The 26,387-nt window shown below is 43.4% G+C and overlaps 1 long non-coding RNA gene and 1 pseudogene across 2 annotated transcripts in view; one reads left to right on the top strand and one right to left on the bottom strand.

The window, feature by feature from the left end:
* On the top strand, positions 16,782-16,886 carry RNU6-86P (RNA, U6 small nuclear 86, pseudogene; annotated as a pseudogene).
* LOC105376131 (uncharacterized) overlaps positions 20,389-26,387 on the bottom strand; it is a 20,559-nt gene continuing 14,560 nt past the window's right edge. The window contains exons 2-3 of one of the 2 annotated variants that reach the window (XR_930088.2): positions 22,388-22,440; positions 20,389-21,052 (exon numbers count right to left, since the gene is read on the bottom strand). This is a non-coding gene — a long non-coding RNA (uncharacterized LOC105376131). The remainder of the gene's footprint in view (positions 21,053-22,387; positions 22,441-26,387) is intronic. The other variant, XR_930089.3, reaches the window with a different exon arrangement.

The raw sequence follows: 26,387 nt of genomic DNA, 5'->3' as shown, positions 1-26,387 counted from the left end.
CTCCCAGGTTCAAACTATTCTCCTGTCTCAGCCTCCCAAGTAGCTGGGACTACAGGCGTGCGCCACCATGCCCGGCTAATTTTTCTATTTTTAGTAGAGATGGGGTTTCACCATGTTGGCCAGGCTGGTCTCGAACTCCTGACCTTGTGATCCACCCGCCTCGGCCTCCCAAAGTGCTGGGATTACAGGCATGAGCCACTGCGCCTGGCTAGTGCTTCTTTCTTTGGAATCCCAACCAACCCCATCTTGGGATGGTATGGGGCACTCCCTTCTGGCAATTTCCCTGCCAGCATTTTGAGGCAACTCTAGCTGTGTGCTTGGCGGGACAAAACAAGACCATGTGGAGCACAAGTGTTGGTGTATTTTGCTCTTTCCTTTAGGCCAAGTCCTACCCTAAGTCCTCATGTGTATTAATTAGTCCTCACAATCTCCCCTAATCCTTTTATCCCTTTTCTTTCTTTTCTTTTCTTTTCTTTTTTTTTTTGAGACAGGGTCTTCTCTGTCACCCAGGCTGGAGTACAGTGGTGTGATCACAGCTTACTGTAGTCTCAACCTCTGGGGCTCAAGCAATCCTTTCATCTCAGCCTTCTGAGCAGCCTCGACTGCAGGCATGTGCTACCATACTTGGATAATTTTTGTTGTTGTTGTTGTTTTCTAGAGACAAAGTCTCACTATGCTCCCCAGGCTGATTTTGAACTCCTGGGCTCAAGCAATCCTCCTGCCTCAGCCTCCCAAAGTGCTGGGCCTATCTCCATTTCTTTGAGAGAGAAGGCCAGAGCACAGACTGAGCTCCTCTCTCAGAGCAGCCCTGGGATTCTGGCCCGTCTCAGCCACCATGAACTACCACACTGAACCCGAGAAGGGCTGCTTCCTCCTCTTACAGACTAGCAGGTGTGGGAGGAGAAGGGCAGGGAGGGTGTTCGTGTTCACTTGTCCTGTGCTATCCAGGACAGCAGCCCTGGTCCACACACAATGATTGTGCACCTGAACATGGCGAGGCCGAATTGAGTTGTGCTGTGAGTAGACGACAGGACACACACCAGATTTTGGAGATTTACCATGGAAAACAGAATGTGACCTATCTCAGTGATTTTTATATGCATTACATGTGAAAATAACATTTTTGACATATTGGGTAAAATGAAATGTATTATTAAAATCAATTTCACCTGGTTCTTTTTAGTTGAATGTTATTAGTGTAAACGTAATGTTACATATGTGGCTGACATTATATTTCTCCTGAGCAGCACGGCTCCAGGAGGGTGGACACTGAAACTGCTCTCAGCCCGCATGGTTGTGCGGTAGAGCTGTGCTGCCAACTCAGGCCTGGGGACTGGTGTCATCCCTATGTTTCCATGGAAACAGGTATTCCTAAGAGAAACACCAACCCTCCTCCACCTAGGGACAGATGTCTATTTTCTTTTTTCTTTTTTAGTAGAGATGGTGGCAGGGAGGGTGGGGGTCTCGCTATGTTGCCCAGGCTGGTCTCGAACTCCTGACTGCAAGGCAAACCTCCCGCCTTGGCTTCCCAAAGTGCTAAGATTACAGGATTGAGTCAATGAGCCCAGCTGGGAACAGATGTTCATGTCCTCCTCTCATCTTTTCCCCAAATTGCCCTTGGAAACTCTTGACAAGTCTTGGCCTAAGTTCTCTACCTCTTCCCCACCTATCTAGAAAAGGCTACCAGAGCCCAGAACACCTGGAGAGATGATAGCTTTCAAGGTGCAGAGATAAAGAGTTCCCAGAAAGGAGACACATTTTGGGGATTGTGAATTGTCTCCTTAGTGGAGAGAAGGACAAGCTTCCTGCAGCTTTCACTCTCTCCTTTGTCCTGGAACCTGTCCCTGCCTAAGGAACTCTTTGGCAAAAGACTTTGCTTTCTGGGTCTCACTTCCTGCTTGATGAAATAAGCTGCTCAGCATAGATTATCCTTAAATGCCATTGAGATGCAAACAAATGTCACTGGTGCCCTTTGAGCACCGCCCGAATATTTTAACACCTCCAGACAGGAGGACTGCACTTGTCTCCTGTTTGTTGTGACTTTTCTCCAGCTTCTTTTCTGTAGGTTGTTAGCAGTCAGAAAACTGTTACAATTACCATGGAGCTGGGTTTGCAGGGGTGAAGGCTAGGAGATGGAAAATCACTTCCCTAAAGGGGACCTTACCCACAAGTGGCAAAGCCAACATTTTAACCTGAACTGCAGGTTCCAGGTGAGGGCCGGCACCCCTGCATCACCTGAAAAAGGAGGTCACTGGATCACGAGTTCTAAGAAATCATTCAACTCTGACATGTGGGGGCCTATTTATTTTTATCTCACTAGAAAACAAAGTCAGAGACTGGGTCTGAAGGTAAGGATGCAGACATCTGAGACAAAATCTCTCTCCTTCCTGTCTTAACTTTGTTTTATTTAGTGTGTGAGGTTTGTTTTTGTTTTTGTTTGTTTTTGAGATGGGGTCTCACTCTGTGGCCAAGGCTGGAGTACAGTGGCATGATCTCAGCTCACTGCAACATCTGCCTCCGAAGCTCAAGCAATCTTCCCACCTCAGCCGCCTGAGTAGCTGGGACTATAGGCCTGCGCCACCACACCCAGCTAATTTTTGTATTTTTAGTACAGACAGGGTTTCACCATGTTGCCCAGGCTGGTCTCGAACTCCTAGATTTAAGAGATCCACTTGCCTCAGCCTCCCAAAGTGCTGGGATTACAGGCATGAGCTACCACACCCTGCCCTGTTTTATTATGTATTATTGTTTATTTTTTTGTAGAGAAGGCGGGTTGCACTATGTTGCCCAGCCTCCTCTCGAGCTCCTGGCCTCAAGAGATCCTCCTGCCTTGGCCTTGTTTTATTAGTTTCACTAGGAAAATTACAGAGGAAGATAAAGCATACAAATAAGGTTAAAACCAACAATAATCCCACAATTTTTTAAAAAGATATAAAATTAAAGTGAAGCATCTGCCCTCGGCTCACCACAGCCCTCAGTACCTGCCCTTCCAAGAGAAAACCCCTCCCCTCCAATAGGTAACTATTCATATTGTCCTCCCAGAATTTTCTTTTTTTCTTTTTCTTTTTCTTTTTTTTGAGATGGCGTTTTGCTCTTGTTGCCCAGGTTGGAGTGCAATGGCATGGTCTCAGCTCACTGCAACCTCCACCTCCCGGGTTCAAGTGATTCTCCTGCCTCAGTCTCCCAAGTAGCTGGGATTACAGGCACCCACCACCATGCCCCTCTAATTTTTGTATGTTTAGTAGAGACATGTTGTCCGGGCTGGTCTCAAACTCCTGACCTCAGGTTATCTGCCTGCCTCGACCTCCCAAAGTGCTGGGATTACAGATGTGAGCCACTGCACCTGGCCCAGAATTTTCTTATATTAATACACACAGTATATTATTTATTTTACAAAAAGGTAAGCATGCTAAATCTATTAGACTGCAAAATATGTTTTCTCATCTCTTGGATATCCTTTCCTGCCAGCACATTGGCAGTATTTAGTGGGTGCACAGAATTCAGTTTCCTGGATTTTCTCTATTTTAACTCTTCCTCCCTCTGCTGGTAGACATTTAAGTTTTTCTCCAGTATTTTGGAGCTGCAGTGAACAGGGCAGCTCTCTACAGGGGCAGATTCCCAAAGAGAGACCTAGTGCCCTGGGAAGAGAAGGGGGTTTCATCTACCAAGAAGCCAGGCAATTAGGAATGAGTTTGCCATCAAATCTGTCAGAAAGAAAGGACTGGGCAACAAGAGCAAAACTCCGTCTCAAAAAAAAAAAAAAAGAATTTAAGTTGCTAGAGAATGTGGAAAGTTTCAAAGGCAGAACTTGTAGCCCTGACATAGTAAAACCTTAAAGCAGCTTTTAGAAAGTCTTGGGCAAAGGCCTTGAAGCCCAACTGGCTCTACACTGATTCTCGCTCCCAGCCTTGGGCAAGCAGATCCACCTGCCAACTCTCAGTACTGCCTTTTCATAAAACCTCAGATAAGCACAGTGCTCTCAAACAGCATAAAAAGCACTAGCCACAAAGGGAAACAATGACTCCATTAAAAACATTTGACTCTATTAAGGCCAAGAACTTCTGTTCATTAAAAATCTGGATTTAAGAGTGAAAAGGTGGGGCCAGGCTCGGTGGCTCATGCCTGTAATCCCGGCATTTTGGGAGGCCGAGGCAGGTGGATCACAAGGTCAGGAGTTCAAGACCAGCCTGGCCAAGATGGTGAAACCTCGTATCTACTAAAAATACAAACAATTAGCCAGGCGTGGTGGTGGGCGCCTGTAGTCCCAGCTACTCGGGAGGCTGAGGCAGGAAAATGGCATGAACCCAGGAGGCAGAGCTTGTAGTGAGCTGAGATTGCGCCACTGCACTCCAGCCTGGGCGACAGAGTGACACTCCATCTCAAAAAAAAAAAAAAAAGAGTGGAAAGGTCAGTCATAATGGGAAAAGACTTTTATCATCCATAAATCCAACCAAGAACTCTGCATAATTGTGGCCCTATATTAATTTTAGGAATTGGTATCACTATCACATAAAAGAAAATAATATTTTTGGTGGTAAGGGATGGAGCCTTGCTCTGTTGCCCAGGCTGGAGAGCAATGGCATGATCTTAGCTCACTGCAACCTCCACCTCCTGGGTTCAAGCAATTCTCCCACCTCAGCCTCCCAAGTAGCTGGGATTACAGTTGTGTGCCACCATGCCTGGCTAATTTTTGTATCTTTAGTAGAGATGAAGTTTCACCATGTTGCCCAGGCTAGTCTTGAACTCCTGACCTCAAGTGATCCTCCTGCCTTGGCTTCCCAAAGTGCTGGGATTACAGGTGTGAGCCACTGCGCCTGAACTGATTGTGTCCTCTAATGCACAAAGTTTTAAACTTGTTTGTTTGTTTGTTTTCTAACCACTAGACCACCAGGGAAAAAGTTTTCCATTTTTATTGACTTCAATTTATCTATTTTTTCTTATGTTGCCCATGCTTTTGGTATCACATTCAAGAAATCATTGTCAAATCTGATATAAGGAAGACTTCTTTTAAGATTCTTATAGTTTTTTTTTTTTTTTTCGAGACGGAGTCTCACTCTGTTACCCAGGCTGGAGTGCAGTGGCACAATCCTGGCTCACTGCAAGCTCCGCCTCCTGTGTTCATACCATTCTCCTGCCTCAGCCTCCCGAGTAGCTGGGACTACAGGTGCCTGCCACCACACCCAGCTAATTTTTTTGTATTTTTATTAGAGATGAGGTTTCACCGTGTTAGCCAGGGTGGTCTTGATCTCCTGACCTCGTGATCTGCCCGCCTCGGCCTCCCAAAATGCTGGGACCACAGGCGTGAGCCACTGTGCCCAGCCTAAGATTCTTACAGTTTTAGCTTTTATAGTTAGGTCTTTGATCCATTTTGAGTTAATTTTTGCATATGGCACTGGGTAAGGGTCCAGCTTCATTCTGTTGCATGTGGAGACTCAATCTCCCTACAACATTTATTATTTTTATTTTTTCAGAGATGAGGCCTCACTATATTGTCCAGGCTGATCTTGACCTCCTGGGCTCAAGCAATCCTCCTGCCTCAGCCTCCCAAAGTGCTGGGATTACAGGTATGAGTCACCATATCCAGCCTTTCAACACTATTTTTTGAAAAAACTATTCTTTCCCTGTAAATGGTCTTGGTATCATTGTTAAAAAAAATCATTTGAAAGCCTGGCGGGGTGGCTCACGTCTGTAATCCCAGCACTTTGGGAGGCCAAGGCGGGTGGATTGCCTGAGGTCAGGAGTTTGAGACCAGCCTGGTTAACATGGTGACACCCTGTCTTTACTAAAAATACAGCAATTAGCTGGGTGTGGTGGTGTGTGCTTGTAGTTTCGGCTACTCGGGAGGCTGAGGCAGGAGAATCACTTAAACCTGGGAGATGGAAGTTGCAGTGGGCCAAGATCATACCACTGCACTCCTGCTTGGGTGACAGAGCAAGACTCCATCTCCAAAAAAAAATAAAAATCATTTGACCATATATATAAAGGTTTATTTCTGGGCTTTCTGTTCTATTCCATTAGTCTATGGGGCTGTTTCTATGCCAGTACCACACTGTTTTGATTACCGTAGCTTTGCAGTAAGTTTTCAAATCCAGATGTATGAGACCTCCAACCTTATTGTTTTTGAGATTGTTTTGGTTACTTAAAGTTCAAGAAAATAACATTTTGACAGACACAATGTGATGCACTGACAGCAAATTATACCATTATTTGTAAAATGCTTGGTCAGGCACTTATACAGAGAACTACAGTAGTTTCCCCCCTCCTTATCCATGGGGGACACATTCCAAGACCCCCAAGACCCCCCAGTGGATGTCTGAAACCTCAGATAGTAACAAACCCTATATATATTATACTCTGGGTTTTTTTCTATGCATACATAACTATGATAAAGTTTATTTATTTATGTATTTTTTTTGAGACAGAGTCTTGCTCTGTCACCCAGGCTGGAGTGCAGTAGTGCGATCTTGGCTACTGCAACCTCTGCCTTCCAGGTTCAAGCAATTCTCCTGCCTCAGCCTCCTGAGTAGCTGGGATTACAGGTGCGTGCCACCACACTTGGCTAATTTTCGTATTTTTAGTAGAGACAGGGTTTTACCATGTTGGCCAGGCTGGTCTTGAACTCCTGAGCTCAGGTGATCTGGCCACCTTGGCCTCCCAAAGTGCTGGGATTACAGGCATGAGCCACCACGCTCGGCCTTATGATAAAGTTCAATTTATAAATTAGGCACTGTAAGAGATTAATAACAACAATAATAAAATAGAACAATTATAACAATATACTGCAATAAAAGTTATGTAAATGTGGTCTCTCTCTCTGTCTCTCAAAATATCTTATCCTGTACTTACTTTTCTTCCTGATCTGATAACTGAGACAGCTAATAAGTGACTAATGGGAAGGTAGCATAGACAGGGTGGATATGCTGGACAAAGGGGCGATTCATGTACTGGGTGGGACAGAGCTGGACAGGGCAAGATTTCATCCCACCACTCAGAACAGAATGCAATTTAAAACTTACTGTTTATTTCTGGAATTTTCCATTTAATATTTTTGGACCAAGGTTGACCTCCTGTAACTGAAATTGTGGAAAGCGAAACTCCAGATTAGGGGTGATGACTTTAGGTGTATTTCTTGTCTCATGTCACAGAGGAGCAAGATAAAAATAAATTATAGAGCCGGCTTCAGGCAGCTGCTGCCTAAAGTCAGGGCCTAGAGGGAAAATGTAAAAACTGACTCAGTTTGTTACCTGAGGCATTTTATTTTTCTGCCAAAGGCAGAATGAGCCACTGTGAGCTCTGCAGATTCTCCAGGCAAAAGGATTTAAATGGCTTCTGGGTACCTCTCCAGGGACAGTCACCACATTTGGGGGTCTTGAAACATTTCAGGGAGCATCTGCTATTTCAGTTCTTTAACAGGATCAGTCTGAGAAGCCGCTATGCCGTCTGAGGCACCCCTGGCATTCTTGCTATGTGGCCTACTTTTTCCTTTCTAGGTTCTTCCATCCCTTGAGAAGTCCCGCCAGACGCCTCTTCACCTTCCCAGCAGGAGGGGCTGGGCTGCGGGAAGAGTTGGGGGTCGGAACCACGCCGCCAAAGGGCGGGAATGAGCGTCTGTGACCTCTGAGCGCTCGAAGCACACCCACATAAGGTGTGAGCCAGCTCAGAGGAGGAAAGAAACCAAGAAAATCTTTAGCAGAAGAGAATCTGGAGAGGAGGGAGGTTAGCGTGGCTTACCGCAGGAGTCTGCTATGAGGAGAGGTGGGGACTTCCCAGACAGTTCTGCAAGTCATGTGAAATTTCCTTTTACATCCTGTGGCTTAAAATGGAGCGGCAATAGCCTCTCAGAGCAGAAAGGAACACCTACCCACACCCCACCCCACCACACCACACCGAGGGCAGGGCATGGGGGTGAGCCGGCCAGCTAAGGAATGGCCGGGACATCAGCGTTCAGATGCTCGTGCGGGCCCTGTCGTTTCCATCCTGAAGCTGGCCCGGGAGGAGCGCCGCAGAGCGAGCCTGGAGCCTGGGGAGTCCCCCGACGTGCGAGAGCCGGAGCTGCCTGGACCGGCCTCCCTACTCGCTGGCTGGACTGCGGCCTCAGGGGCTGCCTCGAGTTCTGGGGCCTGCAGGTACTGGACACGACATCTGAGCTTCCCGCCTTCCCCTGCTCTGCATCCTCAGGCGCTGGAAGGTCCTCGGACAGGATGTGCTCGGATGGGCAGTCCCCGAGTTGTCCTGTGGCGGAGCGGTCCAGGGACTGGGCCACCCTGGGGCTGGGTGGTCCTCGGATGAGACTGTCCCCCGCGTTGGGGGGTTTGGGGTTCCTTGAGAGAAGCTTCAGGTCATGCGGCTGATGGGCCCCCTGAGCCTGAGAGTAGGGATGACCCTGGAAGCGGCGCTAGTGCTGATCCGCAGGTCCCCGCGCTCCCGCCAGAGCCGCGACCCGGCTTGTGCCACCCAGCTTCGGGGCCTGCAGGGAGCGCTGCTTCTTCTGAGCCTGAGTCTGGGACCCTCTTTGCAGTGTGGCTGTGGGGGCGCTGGTCCCATCACGGCCTTTTTCATAAAGTAAGGAGACTGTTTTAGGCCTAAATAGTAGGATTATACTGATTTGCCAGGCAGCCTTTTTCCATGATTTTGGAAACATTAGCCTCAAATAACAACAAAAAAAATTCGTTGATTCACAGCTATGTTGCAAATCCTGGCTGGGCGCGGCGGCTCACGCCTGTAATCCCAGCACTTTGGGAGGCCATGGCGGACAGATTGCTTGAGTCCAGGAGTTCGAGACCAGCCTGGTCAACATGGTGAAGTCTCTACTAAAAATACAAAAATTGGCCGGGCATAGTGGTGGGCGCCTGTAATCCCAGCTACCCGGGAGGCTGAGGCACGAGAATCTGTCTCAAAAACAAAACAACAACAAGAAAACACATCCAGCCATCTCTTATGGAAAGAACATATTAATTTATGAGTGTCTAATATACTTTGTGAATAAAAACATAGTCTTGACTAGATCAACTCAACTCACTATGGAATGTCTTGTTTGTTGTTGTTGTTGTTGTGGAGACACAGTCTAGCTCTGTCGCCCATGCTGGAGTGCAGTGGCACCATCTCGGCTCACTGCAACCTCCACCTCCCAGGTTCAAGCAATTTTTGTGCCTCAGCCTCCTGAGTAGCTGGGATTACAGGCGTGTGCCACCATGCCCGGCCAATTCTTTGTATTTCTTCTAGTAGAGACGGAGTTTCGCCATGTTGCCCAGGCTGGTCTTGAATTCCGGAGCTCAGAAAATCTGCCCGCCCTGGCCTCCCAAAGTGCTGAGATTACAGGCATGAGCCTTTGCACCCGGCTGAAATGTCTTTTGAGGAAAAAAAAAAAAAAATTAAAACAAAACAAAACTTAGTGTTTTTGTTGTTGCTGTTGTTGTTGTTGTTTTTGCCTCTTTCCCTGTTATTCTTTGAAGGAATCCAGAACTTTGATGGTCTCTCATGAGGTTCATGGAATATTTTTGAAGCCATAAAACAAACCGTATTTTCCTTGTTTATATACTTATCTTTAGAATCTTACCCAGTAACTGACACTGAACAGGCACCACATAGCAATTACAAGCACAGAATTCAGTTACTTAGGAATTGTATTTCAGTTCACCTTCATTTTTGAAAGGTATTTTCTCTGGTTATAGAATTCTGGTCTGGCAGGGTTTTTTCTTTCAGCAAATATGACATTAGTTCCATTACTCACATAAGAAAAATGAGGTTTACAGCATTTTTCGGAATCTTCCAACTTGAGGGAGCTAGAAGGGGAGGAGCCAGAACCACAACAAAACCCACCCGATCTCAATGCCTCACTCCGCTCCCTGAAAGAAAAGAGAGAGCCGGGCGCAGTGGCTCATGCCTGGAATCCTAGCACTTTGGGAGGCCGAGGCGGGTGGATCACGAGATCAGGAGTTCAATACCAACCTGGCCAAGATGGTGAAACCCCGTCTCTACTAAAAATACAAAAAATTAGCTGGGCATGGTGGCAGGCACCTGCGATCCCAGCTATTCAGGAGGCTGAGGCAGAGAATTGCTTGAACTCAAGAGGCGGAGGTTGCAGTGAGCCAAGGTCATGCCATTGCGCTCCAGCCTGGGCGACAGAGTGAGACTCCGTCTCAAAAAAAAAAGAAAGAAAAGAGAGAGGAGACAGGAGGGGGAGATGAAGGGGGGAAGGGACGGGGAGACAGGGAGCAAGAGATAGAAGGGAGAGAAACAAGTATGAGAAAGAGAGATTAATATTAAGAGTGATTGAGGAACTAAAACTATTCTTTCCAAACTTATTTTCACCAAGGCTGTGTATCAGCTGTCTTCAAGGCCATCCTCCCCCAGTTGACTGAAATGAACCAAACCCCTTTAATTTTTTTTCCCACACGTTCTGACCATGTTCTAGATGACTAGATTCCCTCAATCATGAAATACACACTCAATAATAATAATGGCAACTTAATTTGACTGTGTGCTTACTACATGCCAGGAACCAGTCTAAGCCAGTTCATGAATTATTTTAGATATTCTTGACAATTACCATAAGAAATCAGTACACATGCAGCTTTTCAATGACTTAGTATGATTTGGGGGCTTGGTTCTTTTTTTTTTTTTTTTTTTTTTTTTTGAGACGGAGTCTCGCTCTGTCGCCCAGGCCGGACTGCGGACTGCAGTGGCGCAATCTTGGCTCACTGCAAGCTCCGCTTCCCGGGTTCACGCCATTCTCCTGCCTCAGCCTCCCGAGTAGCTGGGACTACAGGCGCCCGCCACCGCGCCCGGCTAATTTTTTGTATTTTTAGTAGAGACGGGGTTTCACCTTGTTAGCCAGGATGGTCTCGATCTCCTGACCTCATGATCCACCCGCCTCGGCCTCCCAAAGTGCTGGGATTACAGGCATGAGCCACCGCGCCCGGCCGGTTCTTAAATTCCTTCCCTATGCACAAGATGACAGTAAACAGCCACACTAGACAATTCCTGTGAACTTGCTTGTCTTTAATCCACATGGGACCTAAGCAGCTGAGTGTAACAGCAGGGTGTGGCAGGAATGCTCTGAGGGTGCCAGCCTTCCTTGCCTAAGGTATTCAAATTCAAATCCTTTCTAAAATACTCAATCTGTCCTCGTGTTTTAATTTCTATGCCCAAAATTTGACCTGCACTTGATTTTGCTTTCTGTATATCAGCTCAAAAAATATTAGTCCGTAATAACCATTAGAGAAGAAACGTTAAGTCTATAATTTTTATAAGTTTTTTTTTGGAAGTAATAAATGACTTTATGATGATAAAGGTGAGGGGAGGGAAAGCTAGAATCCTCACAAATTGGTAGCAATTGAATTAGGTTTATCATTTTCTAAACTATGAGCTTGGCTGGGCACAGTGGTTCACACCTGTAATCCCAGCACTTTGGGAGGCCGAAGCAGATGGATCACTTGAGCCCAGGAAGTCAAGTCTGCAGTGAGCTGAGATCATGCTCCAGTCTGGGTGACAGAGTGAGATCTTATTTCAAGAAAACACACACAAAACTATGAGCTTACAATAAAGTTCCTTAGGAGTATTAATAAATTATAATAAAGATATTTAAAATAACAAAATTATAATGAAATATAGCCAAGCAGTTATGGATCTGATCCCAATACTAAATTTTCCTTATCTCTGAGATGGAACTGGCTCTGTTAGCTTAAGAGAGCTGATTATTATTATTGTTTTTTTTTTTTGAGATGGACTTGCTCTTGTTGCCCAGGCTGGAGTGTAGTGGCATGATGCTGGCTCACTGCAATCTCTGCCTCACAGGTTCAAGCAATTCTCCTGCCTCAGTTCCCTGAGTAGCTGGGATTACAGGTGCCTTCCACCACACCCGGTTAAATTTTGTATTTTTAGTAGAGACGCCATGTTGGCCAGGCTGGTCTTCAACTCCAGACCTCATGATCTGCCTGCCTCGGCCTCCCAAAGTGCTGGGATTACAGGCGTGAGCCACTGTGCCTGGCCAAGAGAGTTGATTATTAAATTATTAAATTTTGCAAGCTAATTGTTAAAAACACTTGTATTAGACTGTTTTCACACTGCTGATAAAGACATACCAGATACTGGGCAATTTACAGAAGAAAGAGGTTTATTGGACTTACTGTCCCATGTGGCTGGGGAGGCCTCACAATCACGGTGGAAGGTGAAAGGCACATCTCACATGGTGGCAGACAAGAGAAGAGAGCTTGTGCAAGGAGACTCCCATTTTTAAAACCATCAGATCTTGTGAGAGTAATTCACTATCATGAGAATAGCATGGGAAAGACCTGCTCCCATGATTCAATTACCTCCCACCAACACGTGGGAATTGTGAGTGTTAGAATTCAAGATGAGATTTGGGTTGGGGCACAGCCAGTTCGTATCATTTTGCTCCTGGCCCCTCCCAAATCTCATGTCCTCACATTTCAAAACCAATTATACCTTACCAACAGTCCCCTAAAGTCTTAACTCATTTCAGTATTAACTCAAAGGTCCACAGTCCAAAGTCTCATCTGAGACAAGGCAAGTCCCTTCCACCTATGAGCCTGTAAAATCAAAAGCAAGTTAGTTTAGTTACTTCCTAAATACAATGGGGGTATAGGCATTGGGTAAATATAGCCATTCCAAATGGGAGAAATTGGCCAAAACAAAGGGACTACAGGCGCCATGCAAGTCTGAAATCTAGTGGGGCAGTCAATTCTTAAAGCTCCAAAACGATCTCCTTTAACTCCAGGTCTCACATCCAGGTCATGCTGATGCAAGAGGTGGCTTCCCATGGTCTTAAGTAGCTCTGCCCCTGTGGCTTTGCAGGGTACAGCCTCCCTCCCAGTTGCCTTCACAGGCTGGCATTGAGTGTCTGTGGCTTTTCCAGGCACATGGTGCCAACTGTTAGTGGATCTACCATCCTGGAGGATGATAGCCCTCTTCTAACAGCTCCACTAGGCAGTGCCCCAGTAGGGACTCTGTGTAGGCGCCCTCACCCCACATTTCCCTTCCACACTGCCCTAGCAGAGGTTCTCCATGAGGGCGCTGCCCCTGCAGCAAACTTCTGCCTGGACATCCAGGTGTTTCCATACATCTTCTGAAATCCAGGCGGAGGTTCCCAAACCTCAATTCTTGACTATTGTGCACTCCCAGGCTCAACACCAGATGGAAGCTGCCAAGGCTTGATGCTTGCACCCTCTAAAGCCATGGCTGGAGCTCTATGGTGGCCCCTTTCAGCCATGGCTGGGGTGACTGGGATGTAGGGAACCAAGTCCCTAGGCTGCACAAAACATGAGGACCCTGGGCCTGGCCCACAAAACCACTTTTTCCTCTAGGCCTCCATGCCTGTGATGGCAGGGGCTGCTGCAAAGGTCTCTGACATGCAATGGAGACATTTTCCCCATTGTCTTGGAGATTAATGTTTGGCTCCTTGCTACTTATGCAAATTTCTGCAGCTGGCTTGAATTTCTCCTCAGAAAATGGAATTTTCTTTTCTATTGCATTGTTAGGCTGCAAATTTTCCAAACTTTTATGCTCTGTTTCCCTTTTGAAACTGAATGTCTTTAATAGCACCCAAGTCACCTCTTGAATGCTTTGCTGCTTAGAAATTTCTTCTGCTAGATACTCTAAATCATCTCTCTCGAGTTCAAAGTTCCACAAATCTCTAGGGCAGGGGCAAAATGCCAGCAGTCTCTTTGCTAAAACATAAGAAGAATCACCTATGCTCCAGTTTCCAACAAGTTCCTCATCTCCATCTGAGATCACCTCAGCCTAGACCTTATTGTTCGTATCACTAGCAGCATTTTTGTCAAAGCCCTTTAACAAGTCTCTAGGGAGTTCTGAACTTTCCCACATTTTCCTATCTTCTTCTGAGCCCTCCAAACTGTTCCAACCTCTCCTGTTACCCAGTTCCAAAGTCACTTCCACATTTTTGGATCTTTTCAGTAATGCCCCACTCCCGGTACCAATTTACTGTATTAGTCCATTTTCACACTGCTGGTAAAGACATACCTGAGACTGGGCAATTCACAAAAGAAAGAGGTTTATTGGACTTACAGTTCCATGTGGCTGGGGAGGCCTCATAATCATGGTGGAAGGTGAAAGGCACATCTCACATGACAGCAGACAAGAGAGCTTGTGCAGGGAGACTCTCGTTTTTAAAACCATCAGATCTCATGAAACTTATTCACTATCATGAGAATAGCATGGGAAAGACCCACTCCCATGATTCAATTACCTCCCACCAGGTCCCTTTCACAACACATGGGAATTGTGGGAGTTAAAATTCAAGATGAGATTTGGGTGGGGGACACAACCAAACCATATCAACAATCATTTATGAAAAATTAAATCATATAAACTTGTAATTAAATACATTATATTAAACACACAGGTATTGAATGCTCAAACTCATCACTTTCTATTTATTTGACTAATTATTAGAAGTCACCCATATCATTGCGCAAGTGAAGTTCTCTCATGTTGGCAACAAAACTATTAAATACTCTTCTGGATTTTACAAGAAATAGCAGTTCAAAGTGAAGTCATAGGTGCATAAAATTTGTGATAGAGTATTGTATATTTTACTATTAGTAGTAAATTGTGTGCTATATATTCTTTATATCAGTAAAATTTATAATAAACTCATAAAATATATATAATAACTCCCTATAAGGCCTGTTGATAGACATTTAGTCATACACCACTGAATGAAGCTGTTTTGTAGCACATGGAACTACAAGGAGATTTGGGATGAAAAGCTCTAGAAGATTTAGGGTAAAATACATAATCCAGCATTTATTATGCAGCACTTTAGATCCTTAAATACATTATTATTTAACTTCTCCAGGCTTGTAAAGACTTAATAATAACAAACATTTATTGAGGTCTTAAGGACTTACTATGGACAGGCCAGTAACATGATGATCTCATTAAATCATTGCAGTAACCCTCTGAGAGGAATATTATTATTATTATCCCCAATTGAAGAGGGGGAACGCAGTAGTTGTCATGGTACCCCAGATGGTGAAGAGCAGTTTGAGAAACCTACTGCAGATGGCTGTGCTCTGAGCCCTGTCTGAGCCTATACATGCTCAGGTAGAGACAGAAGCTCCCTGAGATCGAAGCTTGGTTCATGGACCTGGGCCCAGGAGATGGCACATTATGGACACTCAGCAGAGGTTTACTGATTTATTACTTAATGGATCAAGTAACAGTGGATCAAGTCATGATTTAAGCATCATGGGAAGCCACTGATCCAGTTTTAGTCTTGAGAAAATAGTGAATTTGGGGGAGATGAGAAGCTGTAGAGGGGAGCAGAAAGATTAACTAGAGCTAGAGTTTAAAACACTTGCTGCAAATATATTAATATTTAACCCTCACAAAGGTCCTTTATGAGAGCTGTTGTCTCCTTCCTTCAGCCAAGGAACTGCAGGCACTTGCGTAGAAAATGGGACTCATGTCTTCATGAAGAAGAGCTTATAGAGGGTCGTTCTTGACCTGTAGTGTGTATCTGAGTCATCAAGGGACCTTGTTAAAAATGCAGAGTCTGGTTCAGTAGGTCTGGGGTGCTGCTCAAGCATTTGCACTTGTGACGAGCACCTACAGGAGGCTGAAGCTGCTGGTCTGCCAGTAATACTTGGAGTAACTAGTCAAGAGGGTTTGTGTTGTTTGTTTGTCATTGAGAAAACTTTCAATGAAAGTTTCAGTTGAGAACTTTCAAGCTCATTGGCTTGGATGGGATAAGGCAAAATAACGTATTCTGTGTATTCTGAATACACAGAATAACCTGGGGTCCTGCATAGCTCCCTTTTGATAAATGAGAGCTCCCTTTTCTAGACAGATAACTCACTGTTAACTTATGGTCAGAGTATCTCACACAAGATTCCATGGAATCCTCCCAGCAGCTCTGAGAGATGGATATTGTCTGTGGATAAAGATGCTAAAGCATAAAGGGAATTCCACATTCTAAAATAAATAAGAGGAGGAGAGAGAAAATTAATATAGAGTAAGTGAATATAAAGTCCAGAAATGAGGGATCTATTGACATTACTCCTGAAGGACAAAAAGTTGTCGAGATGAGTTTTAGGCTCCTGAACCGACCATGTCACTAGGAACCAATTGTTACGGGAGCCAGAAGAGAAACTGATGCGCTAATGAATTTTTGATTGCATGAAGCTGGAGGCTCAGTGAGGGAGAACAGAGGTCTAAAAGAAAGATAGTTCTATGCTAGTTCCACTACCATTACTTTTGTCTGGAAATTTAAAGTTTGTATCAGTGTGTAAAGTTTGTTATTCACTCCCATTTCTTCATATACACATAGAACACCTCTGTCAAGAAAGAACTGCTGGGGCCGGGGGAATGTGGCTCATGCCTGTAATCCTAGCACTTTGGGAGGCTGAGGCAGGTGGATCACTTGAGGCCAGGAGTTTGAAGCCAACGTGGTGAAACCCTGTCTCTACTAAAAATACAGAAGTTAGCCAGACATGGTGGTGTTTGCCTGTAGTCCCAGCTACTCAGGAGGCTGAGGCAGGAGAATCGCTTGAACCCAGGAGGTAAAGATTGCAGTGAGCAGAGATTGTGCTACTGTACTCCAGCCTGGCTGACAGAGCAAGGCTCTGTCACAAACAAACAAACAAACAAACAAAAAAAAAACAAAGAACTGCTGGATACAGGTCATCTTGGCTGCAGAAAGGAACCTGCCTCCTTACTATATATCTGTGCTAATATTTATATTTTAATTCATGCACTTACTAATTTTTCAAATATTTTATATTAAAATCAGAATTTATGTGCTTGCTTCTGCAGCACATATACTAAAACTGGAACGATACAGAGAAGATTAGCATGGCCCCTGCACAAGGATGACACACAAATTCATGACGTGTTCCATATTTAAACAAAAAAAAAAAGAAAAAAAAATCAGAATTTATGAAAACTACCAGTCTGTTGGGTTATGAGCTCAAATTTGTAGCATAAATACATAAGCATATTTTGAAAGAATAAGTATATGAAGGTATACCAAAGGAGAGAGTAAGAGTGAGAATCCAACAGGATGTAAACCCAGGCTTCAGCAGGGGCTGTCCCTGGGTGGACATGATTATGGGGGTAGTTCATGACTTTTGCTCATCTGAATGGAGTGAGGTTGTTTTCACTGAACTTGCTTTGAATAGTGATAAGAAGGTGTCAGTCCCTTCTGTGCTGCTATAACAGAAAACCTGAGACAGAAATTTATAAAGATCTGAAATGCATTTCTTATAGTTCCAGAGGCTGTGAAGTCCAGGATCAAGGTACTGGCATCTAGTGAGGTCCTTCTTGCTTCATCCTCACATGGCAGAAGGCAGAAGGGCAAAAAAGAGCAAACCCACCCTTAGAAGCCTTTTTTTTTTTTTTTTTTTTTTTGAGGTGGAGTTTCACTCTTGTTGTCCAGGCTGGAGTGCAATGGCGTGATCTCGGCTCTCTGCAACCTCCGCCTCCCGGGTTCAAATGATTCTCCTGCCTCAGCCTCCCAAGTAGCTGGGATTGCAGGCATGCACCACCATGCCCGGCTAATTTTGTATTTTCTAGTAAAGACAGGGTTTCTCCATGTTGGTCAGGCTGGTCTCAAACTCCCAACCTCAGGTGATCTGCCCGCCTCGGCCTCCCAAAGTGGTGGGATTACAGACGTGAGCCACCACGCCCAGCCAGAAGCCTTTTTATACTGGCATTAATCATGACCTAAATACCTCCCCAAAGGCCCATCTCTTAACACTGTTGTCTTGGAGATTAAGCTTCCAACACATGAATTTGGGGGGACAGAGTCAGCCCATAGCAGAAGGGAAAGAGGAAAAAAGAAACAAGCTGCAAATGAACCTTTGAAACCAACATATTGTTAGACCTTTAGCTGTTCCAACTAATCTTCTGTTGTAGGACATTTTTGTTCTATGTAATCTTCTATTGTTGAGAATTCACTGATTTTTAATACTGTACCTGGATTAACCATGAGTAGTTATTAAGTGTGATAAAATAAAGATAAAAGTTAAAAGTACAATTAAGAGGAAAAACAACAGCAGATTAAATCTCCAAAATTCTGTCCAATATAAAAGCAACAAGAAAAGTAGCAAAAAATGGTCAGAATCAAACATTTTCAGAACTCTGGAAATTAATTCAGAGAGTATTTATTCAAAGAAAGTGGCTGAATTTCAGGAAGGACAGTGAGCTTTGTGATACCATCACTGGTTCTAGTCCCATCCCTTCTTGACCAGCTCCATAAAACAGCTCACAACTGCCAATGAAACCAGCAGCTTGGCAGCTAATGGAGGGGCATAGCAGGATTTGAAATCCTTCAAACCCTCATTCCCAGAGAATTGTCATTATTTGACTCGTCTAGTGGTTTCCTGGATACCCTACTCAATAACGCTATCTTTATCTCACCTAACTTGCAGTTAACCCAGTGCAAAAAGCCTTTGCCCTGGGACATTAGAAGCAATTTATTGATTTTGTAGCTGCATGATGCAGTAGATAACAATTTGGGCAAACAACAGGCTAACCAAAAAGCTTGAAAGAAAAGGCTGAGGAATGAAATGCTGACAGGGCTTTAAAAACTCTGACATATTCCTGGGAATCTAGAAGGCCATGCACATGTATGGTAATGTGTGCATGCCCAGGGCTATGTGCCTGCTCGGAAGAGATGTGAGAAGGCCCTAAATTCTCATCTCTGGGTCATCCTGAGGCTCTATGTAAGGAGGAAGTGAAGGATAAGTCCCAGTTAGCAACTTCCTAGCTGAGTGTTGAAAGTGTGTCCCAGCACATACACAGAATCCCTCTGCAAGGACTAGAAACCTAGTGGTTTCAGGTATTTAAGGAAATTTCTCTCTAATTATTAGTTGATCACTAAGCTAACTAAGCAGAGATTTCAGAGGCCACCATGATAAGAAAACAGACATTACTCAACCAAGTCAGAAAATACACTAAAGAAGCAAACAACAACCAAAAGCAACAACAATAAACCTTTAGGAAGAAAGAGAATCTGATTTCCAGAGTTGCCAAAATACGTTACTTTAAAAGTTCAGTTTTCAACAAAAAGTTATGAGACTTGCAGAGAATTTAAAAAGTATGGTCCACAAGCCGGAAAGTAAGCAGAAAACAAAAATTATCCCTGAAAAGCACAGATGTTTGATTTACTGGACAGACCTTAAATCACCTATTTTATTTTTTTCTTTGAGACAGAGTCTTGCTCTGTCACCCAGGCTGGAGTGCAGTGGTGCGATCTCTGCTCACTGCAAGCTCCGCCTCCCTGGTTCACGCCATTCTCCTGCCTCAGCCTCCCAAGTAGCTGGGACTACAGACACCTGCCACCACACCCGGTTAATTTTCTGTATTTTTAGTAGAGACGGGGTTTCACCGTGTTAGCCAGGACGGTTTCGATCTCCTGACCTGGAGATCCACTCGCCTCGGCCTCCCAAAGTGCTGGGATTACAGGCATGAGCCACCGTGCCAAGCGACCTATTTTAAATATGTTCAAAAACTAAGCAAAACTATGTGTAAAGAACTAAAGAAAAGTATGAGAATAATCTCTTCCCAAATAGAGAATATTAATGAAAAAGAGAGGAAATATTAAAAAGAACCATATAGAAGTTCTGTAGTTCAAAATTACAGTAACTGAAATGAAAAGTTCACTAGGGAGGCTTAGCAGCAGATTTAAACACTCAGAAGAAAGAATAAACAAACTTGAAAATACATCAATGAACATTATCTAGCCTGAGGAACAAAATGAAAAAAAAATGAATGAAATTGAATACAAATGAATCAGTGGGATATCATTAACTGTGCCAATATATACACACTGAGAGTCCCAGAAGGAGAGAAGAGAAAGGGCAGAAATAATATATTAACAAATAATGGTCTAAAGTGTCTGACTTTATTTTTTTTGAGACAGTCTCATTCCGTCACCCAGGCTGGAGTGCACTGGCATGATCTCGGTCACTGCAACCTCCACCTCCTGAGTTCAAGTGATTCTCTTGCCTCAGCCTCCCAACTAGCTGGGATTATAAGCACCTGCCACCATATCCAGCTAATTTTTGTATTTTTAGTAGAGACGGGGTTTCACCATGTTGGCCAGGCTGGTGTCAAACTCCTGACCTCAGGTGATCCACCTGCCTCAGCCTCCCAAAGTGCTGGGATTACAGGCATGAGCCACCACGCCCAGCTCTTGGGCAGTTCTTTATAGCATCCTGAGAACAGACTAATATACCTGCCCTATAAGAAATGCTAAAAGGAGACCTTTGTACTGAATTGTAGGGCTCTAGATAGTAATAAGAATCCACACCTATAAATAAAGAGTACCAATAAAGATAACTACATAAGCAAATGTAAAAGACAGTATACATGTATTTTTGTTTGTAACTCTTTCTTTTATTTGATGTAAAAGACAGCCACATAGAGAAATAATTCAATAATTATAAATCTGTGTTGATGCATACTCTATGTATAAAAATTAGTTTGTTTGCCAATAACAGCACAAAGGAGAAGGGAAAGAACAGAGCTATAGGACCAAAGTGTTTAGATGCCATTAAAATGAAGTTGATATTAATCAAAATTAGATTAATATGTTATTAATTTTAATCCCAAAAGCAACATTAAGAAGATAATGTTTTTAAATATAGAAGGCCAGGCGCAGTGGCTCATGCCTGTAATTCCAGCACTTTGGGAGGCTGAGACAGGTGGATCACTTGAGGCCAGAAGTTCAAGACCAGCCTGGCCAACACAGCAAAACCTGTCTCTACTAACACAAAAATTAGCCAGGTGTGGTGATACACGCCTGTAATCCCAGCTACTTGGGTAGCTGAGGCACAAGAATCACTGGAACCAGGGAAGTGGAGGTTGCAGTGAGCTGAGATTGCGCCACTGCACTCCAGCCTGGGAGACAAGAATGAAACTCCACTTCAAAAAAAAAAAAAAAAAAAAGAAAAAAGAGTGGGGAAACCCAGTGTCTGTCTAGGTTTTTTGTGGTCTCTGTGAGCATGCTTTCTTTCCTTCTGGGTGTGGAGCAGGGTCCTCTCAGCAGGGATCGGAGCCTTATGACCTACAATCAAACAAGGTAGGTCAGATAATCCTTTATGACCAGTTTTTACACAGAAAGATGGAGGAAAGGCTAGATTCATATTTTTAGGTTTTATAGCTGGCTTTGGGGAAAAGGGGTTCTGGTTTCTATAACCCACCTTGTGGAAAAGGGATTCTAGGTGTCTCTGGCTAGCCTTGGTGGAGAATGGGACTGAGAGACAGGAGGGTAGGAGAAGGTCAGAGAAAAACTTTTTCTTCTGAGGCTGTTTCTGAGGCTGTCATTCTGGGGTATGGTTTTATGAATGCCAAAATTCACAATGGGATGAAATTAGATATCAACAACAAATTTGGCAAATATGTGGGAATGAAACAACACACTCTTGAATAACCAATGCGACAAAAAATAAACACAAGAAAAATGAGAAAATGCTTTGATATTAATGAAAACAAAAACGCAGAATACCCAAATTTATGGATGCAGCAAAATTAATGCTTAGGGTGAAATTTATAGCTATAAATGCCCATATTTTTAAAAAAGAAAGATTTCAAACAATAATCTAACCTTCCATCTTAAGACACAGGGGCGCCAGGGATGGTGGTGTGTGCCTGTGGTCCTAGCTACTCAGGAGACTGAGATGGAAGGATCACTTGAGGCTAGGAATTTGAGGCTGCAGTGTGCTATGATTGCACCTGTGAATAGCTACTGCACTCTACGCTGGGCAACTTAGTGAGGCCCATTTCTTAAAAAAAAAAAAAAAAAAAAAAGACGCTGGGGAAAAAGGAGCAAAATAAACCCAAGGCAATCAGAATTAAGAAAATAATAAAGATTAGAGGGAAAATAAATGCAACTGGGAAGATAAAAACAATATAAATAATTAACAAACCCAAAAGTTAGTTATTTGAAATGATTGATAAAACTGGCAAAACTTCATTATAGCTAGAATGACCAGGAAATAAGAGAGAAGACTTGTATCACTGAAACCAAGAATAAAAAATAGGACATGACCGGGCGCGGTGGCTCACGCCTGTAATCCCAGCACTTTGGAAGGCCAAGGCGGGCGGATCACGAGGTCAGGAGATTGAGACCATCGTGGCTAACATGGTGAAACCCCGTCTCTACTAAAAATACAAAAAAAATTAGCTGGGCGTGGTGGCGGGCGCCTGTAGTCCCAGCTACTCGGGAGGCTGAGGCAGGAGAATGGCGTGACCCCGGGAGGCGGAGCTTCCAGCCTGGGCAACTCCGTCTCAAAAAAAAAAAAAAACCAGATTCGTGGAAAGACACAGACTACCAAAACTGACTGAAGAACAAATAGAAATTCAGAATAAACACATAACAATTAATAATTATAAAGCTTACCACAAAGAAAAGCGCAGGACCAGATAGCTTCACCGGTGCATTCTACCAAGTGTCTAAAAAAGAATTAACACCAAACTCTTTCAAAATATAAAAGAGGAGGAAATACTTTTCAACACATTCTATGAGGACTGTGTTACATTGATACAAAAACCAGACAATGACATTGTAAGAAAACTACAAACCATTATCTTTTATGAAAAAGGATGAAAAAAATTCTCAACAAAATACTAACACACCAAATCTAGCAACATATAAAGATTACATCAAAAGAATATTAAGACAATTCATAGACTGGGAGAAAGTATTTGCAAAAGACATATCTTACAAAGGACTGTTATTTAACCCAATTAAAAAATTGACAACATGTCCGGGAGCAGTGGCTCATACCTGTAATCCCAGCACTTTGGGAGGCCAAGGCGGGTGGATCATTTGAGGTCAGGAGTTTGAAACCAGCCTGGCCAATGTGGCAAAACCCGATTTCTACTAAAAATATAAAAATTAACCAGGCAAGGTGGTGCATGCCTGTAATCCCAGCTACTCGAGAGGCTAAAGCAGGAGAATTGCTCGAACCTGGGAGGCAGAGGTTGCAGTGAGCCAAGATTGTGCCACTGCACTCCAGCCTGGGCAACAGAGCAAGACTCCATCTCAAAAAAATAAAAAATAAAAATAAATTGGCAAAATCATCTGAGATATGAGGACTTGAAAATTAAAAAAAAAGAAAAAATTGGCAAAAGATCTGAACAGATACCTCACCAAAAAAGATATACAAATGACAAATAAGCTTATGAAAAGATGTTCAACATCATATTTCTTTAGGGAATTGCAAATTAAAACAATAAGTTATCACTACAAATCTATTAGAATGGTGAAAATCCAAAACACTGGCAACAGCAAATGCTAGCTAGGAGATAGAGCAACAGAAACCCCCATTCATTACTGGTGAGAATGCAAAATGATATATCCACTTTGGAAGATAGTTTGGCAGTTTCTTACATAAGTAAACATACTCTTAACATACATTCCAGCAATCATGTTCTTTGGTATTTACCCAAATAAGGTGAAAACATGTCAACACAAAAACCAGCACACACATTTTATGGCAACTTTATTAATAATTGCCAAAACTTGGAAGCAACCAAGATGCTCTTTAGATGAGATCAGGTGCGTTCAGGGTGGTATGGCCGTAGATCAAGATGTTCTTTAGTAGGGGAGGAGATAAATAAATTTTGGTACATCCAGGCAACAAAATATTATTCAGCACTAAAAACAAATGAGCTAACAAGCCATGAAAAGACATGAAGGAAACTTGCATATTGCTAAGTGAAAGAAGCCAATCTGGAAAGACTACATATTTTCTGATTCCAACCATATGACATGTTGAAGAAGGTGAAACTATGGAAACAGCAAAAACATCAGTGGTTGCCAGGGGTTTGTGTGAGGGGAAGAAGAGGTAGAGCACAGGCATTTTTAGGGCAGTGAAACAATTCTATATGACACTATAATGGTGGATATGTGCCATTATATTTGTGCCAAAACCTACAGAATGTATGACACCAACAATGAAACTGAATGTAAACTATGGAACGTGGATGATAATTAAGTGTTAATGTTGGTTCATCAATTCTAGTAAATCTCCCACTCCAGTGCAGGATATGGATGGTGAGGAGTGCTATGCATGTGTGGGAACTCTGTACTTTCTGCTCTATTTTCTGTGAACCTAAAACTGTTCTAAAATGTCAGGTGTATTTTTAAAGAAAAGGATTAGACACAATGAGTAGGTGCGAGTTACCCCACAAATGCAAACTGGGTTCAACATAAGAAAACCAATCAATGTAATACACTATATTAATAAAAGACAAACTCTACATGATAATCTCAAAAGAAAAAAAATTTGACAAATCCGAAACCTTTTCAGGATACAAAATATTCAACAAAGTAAGAATATTCCTCAACCTAATAAAGCCATCTACAAAAACCCTACAAGTAACATCCTACTTAATGATAAAAAGCTGAAAGTGGCTGGGTTCAGTGGCTCATGCCTGTAATCCCTACAGTTTGGGAGGCTGAGGTGGGAGGGTCGCTTAAGCCCAGGAGTTCAAGACCAGCCTGAATAACATAGCAAGACCTTGTCTCTACAAATAATTTTTTTGGAGACGGAGTCTAGCTCTGTCGCCCAGGCTGGAGGGCAATGGCGCAATCTTGGCTCACTGCAACCTCCGCCTCCCAAATTTAAATGATTCTCCTGCCTCAGCCTCCTGAGTAGCTGGGATTACAGGCGCCCGCTACCACGCCCAGCTAATTTTTGTATTTTTAGTAGAGACGGGGTTTCACTGTGTTGGCCAGGCTGGTTTTGAACTCCTGACCTTGTGATCCACCCACCTCAGCCTCCCAAAGTGCTGGGATTACAAGCATGAGCCACCGTGCCCAGTCTTACAAATAATAATTTTTAAAAACTAGCCAGTCATGGTGGTGTGCACCTGTGTTCCCAGTTACTTGGGAGGCTGAGGTGAGAGAATCACTTGGGTCCAGGTGGTTGAGGCTGCAGTGAGCCATGATCATACCACTGCACTCCAGCCTGGGTGACAGAGAGAGATCCTGTCTCAAAAAAAAAAAAAAAAAAAAAAGCTGAAAGTCTTCCTGCCAATATAGGGAACAAAACAATGTCTGTTTTTTCCATTTCTATTCCACATTGTACTGAAGATTTTAGTCAGGACAATCAAAAGAGGAAGAAATAAAAGGCATACACATTAAAAGGAAGGAATAAAACCATCCATTTGCAGATAATATGAATTTGCACGTAGAAAACACTAAGGAATTCACATGAAAATTGTTAAAGCTAACAAATAAGTCTGGCAATGTTGCAGAATACAAGGTCAATATATGAAAATCAATTATATTTATACACACTAATAGTGAACAATCTGAAAATAAAATTAAGACAATAATTCCATTTACAATAGCATAAAAATACATTTTTAGGAATAAACTTAAAAGAAGCACAACTTGTTGAGATAGTTTTGATATTTGTCCTCTCCAAATCTCATATTGAAATGTGACTGCTAATGTTGGTGGTGGGGCCTGGTGCAAGGTGTTTGGGCCATGGGGACAGATCCCTCAGTAATGGCTTGGTGCCTTCCCTACATTAATGAGAGTTCTAGTGCCATTAGTTCAAGCAAGATCTGGTTGTTAAAGAGTCTGGGATCTGCCCTATCTCTCCTGCTCCCTCTCTCCCATATGACATGCCAGCTTCCCTTGCCTTCTACCATGAATAAAACTTTCCTGAGGCCCTCACCAGAAGATCAGCCAATGCTGATGCCATGTTTCTTGTACAGTCTGCAGAACTGTGTGCCAAATAAACTTATTTTCTTTATAAATTACTCAGCCTCAGCCAGGTGCAGTGGCCTGTAATCCCAGCACTTTGGGAAGATGAGGTGGGTAGATCACTTGAGGCCATGAGTTCAAGACCAGCCTGGCCAACACAGTAAAACCCTGTCTCTACTTAAAAAATAGCAAAAAATTAGCTGGGTGTGGTGCACATGCCTGCAATCTCAGTTACTTGGGTGGTTGAGTCACAAGAATCACTTGAACTCGGGAGACGGAGGTTGCAGTGAGCTAAGATTGTGCCACTGCACTCCAGCCTGGGCAACGGAGTGAGACTCTGTCTCAAAAATAATAAATAAAAATAAAAAACAAACAAATTACTTAGCTTCAGGTATTCCTTTATAGTGGTGCAAAATGGACTAATATGGAAAATTAATACTGAGGAGTGGCACATGGCTATAAAGAAAGCTGAAAATGTGGAAGCAGCTTTGGAACTGAGTAATGGACAATTTGGAAGAGTTTGGGGGACTCAGAAGAAGAAAGGAAGATGAGGGAACGTTTGGAACTTTTATGAGACTGGTTAAGTGGTTGTGACCAAAGTGCTGATAGAATTAGGGACAGTGAAGGCCAGGCTGATGAGGTCTCAGATGGAAATAAGGAACTTATTGGGAACTGGAGG

This window comes from Homo sapiens, chromosome 9 (assembly GCF_000001405.40).
Source record: "Homo sapiens chromosome 9, GRCh38.p14 Primary Assembly".
NCBI lineage: Eukaryota > Metazoa > Chordata > Mammalia > Primates > Hominidae > Homo > Homo sapiens.
This window is presented reverse-complemented; position numbering and strand designations above follow the sequence as displayed.